At 37.0% G+C, this 3,647-nt stretch overlaps 1 annotated feature.

The window, feature by feature from the left end:
• Positions 1,628-1,922: a silencer, noted in NCBI's record as "tiled region #13133; HepG2 Repressive non-DNase unmatched - State 23:Low". NCBI's record gives its function as "represses a minimal TATA promoter and a strong SV40 promoter by Sharpr-MPRA in HepG2 cells {active_cell/tissue: HepG2}" and the evidence as "EXISTENCE:reporter gene assay evidence [ECO:0000049][PMID:27701403]".

Genomic DNA, 3,647 nt, shown 5'->3' on the forward strand with positions numbered 1-3,647 from the left:
AAAGTCAAAGAGAATTTAAATAATCTCCAAAAACTACAGTTCAGATTGTTCAGTTTTTGATTACTAGAACCACACTGTATTGTAATGCAGCATACAGCACAATGCCTAGCAGAAAGAAGATGCTCAAAAACACAGATGAATAAAAATAAATAAATAAGAATAAAAGAATAAGTAAATGGATAGTTAGGTTAGCAACTATATGAATGAGTGTAGAGTGATTAACTAATTCTGTAGAATTATTTTCAGAGCCAGAAGTTTATTTAATCCAACCACTACATTTTTCAGAGCGCACAGTCAAATAACAAATTCTTGGCAGGGTCAAAATTAAAATTTGGTCATCTCAATATATTAAAATATGGAAACATCTCAGCTAATTTTCCTCATTTTCCCCATTGAATCTTTTTCCCAGCACAAGAAACTTCAAGTCAGCCAGTAGCTTACAGCTCTTCTTCCAACAGAAGCTTGAAGGCCTCTCTAACAGTAAAGCCTTTTGGTTTGAGTCTCCCTATATGCCAGGCCTGCTCTCACCCAGTTATTGGATCTTGAACCAGCTTCAAAGAAATAGCTGAGGAACTAGAGGAGATCACCTAGCAGCCTGAGTCATTGACAGACATAACCATCAAGCATCAGGAAATTGCAAGTGTGTTTTGCCAGAAGGCTGCAGCAGCTAGAACTCTCAAACTGATGTTTTTTCTCCCACCCTGCCTTTCTTAAATTCAGTCTCTTTCTATGCCCCTATCGAACTATCCTCTTGTCTCCATGATTCTTTGGTTTCTGTCATAGCTGAGATTCCATTGACTATGAGCAACTTGCAGACAGGGACCTACTACTCTGTTCATCTCTATATCCTAGCAACTTAGCAACGTGCTGGTAGAAAGTAGGAATACAATGAGAGAAAGAAGAAAGAAAGCAAAAAAGAAAGAAAGAAAGGAAGGAAGGAACAAAGAAAGAGGAAGAGAGAGAGAAAGAAAGAGAGAAAGAAAAAAAGAAAGAAAGAAGAAAGAAAGAAAGGGAGGAAGGAAGAGGGGAAGGGAAGGGAAAGGAAAGGGAGGGGAGGGGAGGGGACGGGAGGAGAATTTTATGCCTCAAAGTTCCAAAAGACACAAGAGTCACAGCATCTGTGCCTAGCCCAAAGTATAATTTCAACAAATGTTGAATAAATGTGAAATAATGAATAAATGATTGATATAAATAAGTATCATTAATTGATTACTGATTATGTACCAGACACCAGCTAGGAACATTGTATATGTTCTTATTTAACCATTTCAACAACCCTGCTCTATCTTTTTCTCCCTAGTGCTTAGTACTATCTAACATACCAATATTTCACTTATTTACTTTATTTACTATTGATCTGTCCCTCAAGAATTTAACCTCCATGAGGGCCAAAATCTTTGTTTTGATGCTACCCCTGTCTACAAGAGTACCAGGAACCAAGTAGATATTCAGTAAATTTTTGTGGAATTAATATTATTATACACTCCTTGCAAAACAACAACAATAACAACAACAACAACAAACCTGAATTTAGAGTTGCTTAAAAACAAAAAATCCCTGCTGTTGTGTCAGGCACTCCAGAGATTTCCATACTTTTGCTGAAAACTGGTGACTACATTGCAAGAGAGGTATTATCATTATTCTAGTACGGTGGACACTGAGACACAGGAAGAGGAGGTCACCAGCTTGAAGTCAGACAGCAGCTCATTTGATAAAGACTGAATCACCATTCAAGCTATGGGGAACGTGGCTAAGAAGCCCTTGCTCTCCCTATGACCTCAATCCACCTTGCAATGAAAAATGCTGAATCAGAATATTCATGTAGAAGGTGTTGTCAGCCACCTGAAAAAACAGGAAGAACCCATCACAACCCAAGTCAACTCAGCAAGACCTCATTGAGCAAAGAGCATCCCTTTCACATTAACAGTGCAATACATGCTGAATGCAGGAGATTAAAACAAAGTTATTAGGCGGAGAAAGGCATGCCAATGACTTGAGCACTTAATGAGATGCCCATCGTATCTAGAAGTAAGCAGTTTCCCAGAGGATTATTTGATGTGAAAGGAATAGTAAGGAGCTCCTTAGTGGCACACAGACACATCCTCTCATGTACACACCTGCTCAGGGCTCAGCAAAAGACAGTGCGTAAATGTCTGGAATATTACATAAAAGCTGTCTGCCCAACCAGTCAAAGCTATTAAAATCCATCTCGCTGAAATGAACCCTGAGAGCAGGTCAAACAAATCTAATTTTTATTGTTCCTTAAGGACATGGCTGTGTTGGAGACAAAGGAGAGAGGCAGGAGGCCAGTTAGAAAGAAAAAAAAAAAACCCTAAGAGGCCTTAAAAAATTAAATGTTCAAAAGAGCTGTGGCAGGCAAGATAAATGATATATTACACTGCTGGTTTAAACCTAATTGATGACTAATGTTGTAATGCATCTGAACCTACACTGATCTATTATCCGTCTGGTCCAGGCTGAAGGGACACTGCAAGGAGAAAAATTGCTAACCATTTTAACCTGATGGAACTTTAAAAAAATAACCGGTCCAGTTACTTTAAAAGATAAATGACTGGGTGGTGACCTTTTAATGTATATCAGGGTCTTGCAATGCAAAATCAAATGTTAATTAAATAGAATCCAGTGCTGGGACAATGCAGAAAAAGTGTGTTTTAGAGCTCAACAGGCCATGGGGAATTGTGTTGTTGGGTTCTTACAAAATTTTTCAAAGAAACTACCAATAGAGAAGAAATAATGATAGATCACATAGCAATCATTGAAAAAGCAAATATACACACAAACACCATTTGGATAACACCTGCATATAGGTTACATAAAATAGCATGTTGACACAGCTAAATTACAGTCATTGAAAGGGCAGGGCGACCAATAGAGTTGCTTAAATTCACTGGGATAGGTCAAAAAGGCTTTATTTTCCTGATCTGCCATAGCTTCCACACAATTTTCAGAAGGAAAAACAAGCAAATAATGTAAGAACATTTCAAAAGGATTCAGTGACCAGCTTGAAAGGATTTTCAGTGGCCATGTCTAGCGTAAGTTAGCTACAAAATCGTGAATATAAAAATTATAATCAGACACTAAAGTTAAGTATCTATGAGTTCATACTGATATAAAGGAATACACATATGAATGAATGAAAAATGAGAAGGAAAATCTCTTTGCTATAGTAGAATTCTAACTAAGAAATGTTTAAGAAAGAAATGAGGAAAATAGAAATCACTATTTGGCAACCAGAAAGTAATTATTGTTTCAGGCAAGCATCTTCAATAGATACTAAAATTAGTGAACAACAAAAAAATGATGAGAAACAGAATCTTCACAGAGGCCCACAATATCTCCACTTTGACAGCACCTTAATGAAGGGATCATAGTTAACATCACCAGTAATGGGACAAATGGACACCATGTGCCTTCTGATATAATGAATTTAGAAGGACACAACATCATTTCATCATATTCTTGCTAAAAATGCAAAACCAGAATTTAATTATGAGGAAACATCAGACTAACTGAGGAACAATCTACAAAATGGTCAGTTCTCCTCAAAAGTATTAAGTCATATATTACATATCAAGTCAAAGAATGACTCAGGAAATGTACCAGATTAAAGGTGATCAAGGAGACAT

The sequence above is a fragment of the Homo sapiens genome, chromosome 1, assembly GCF_000001405.40.
Source record: "Homo sapiens chromosome 1, GRCh38.p14 Primary Assembly".
NCBI lineage: Eukaryota > Metazoa > Chordata > Mammalia > Primates > Hominidae > Homo > Homo sapiens.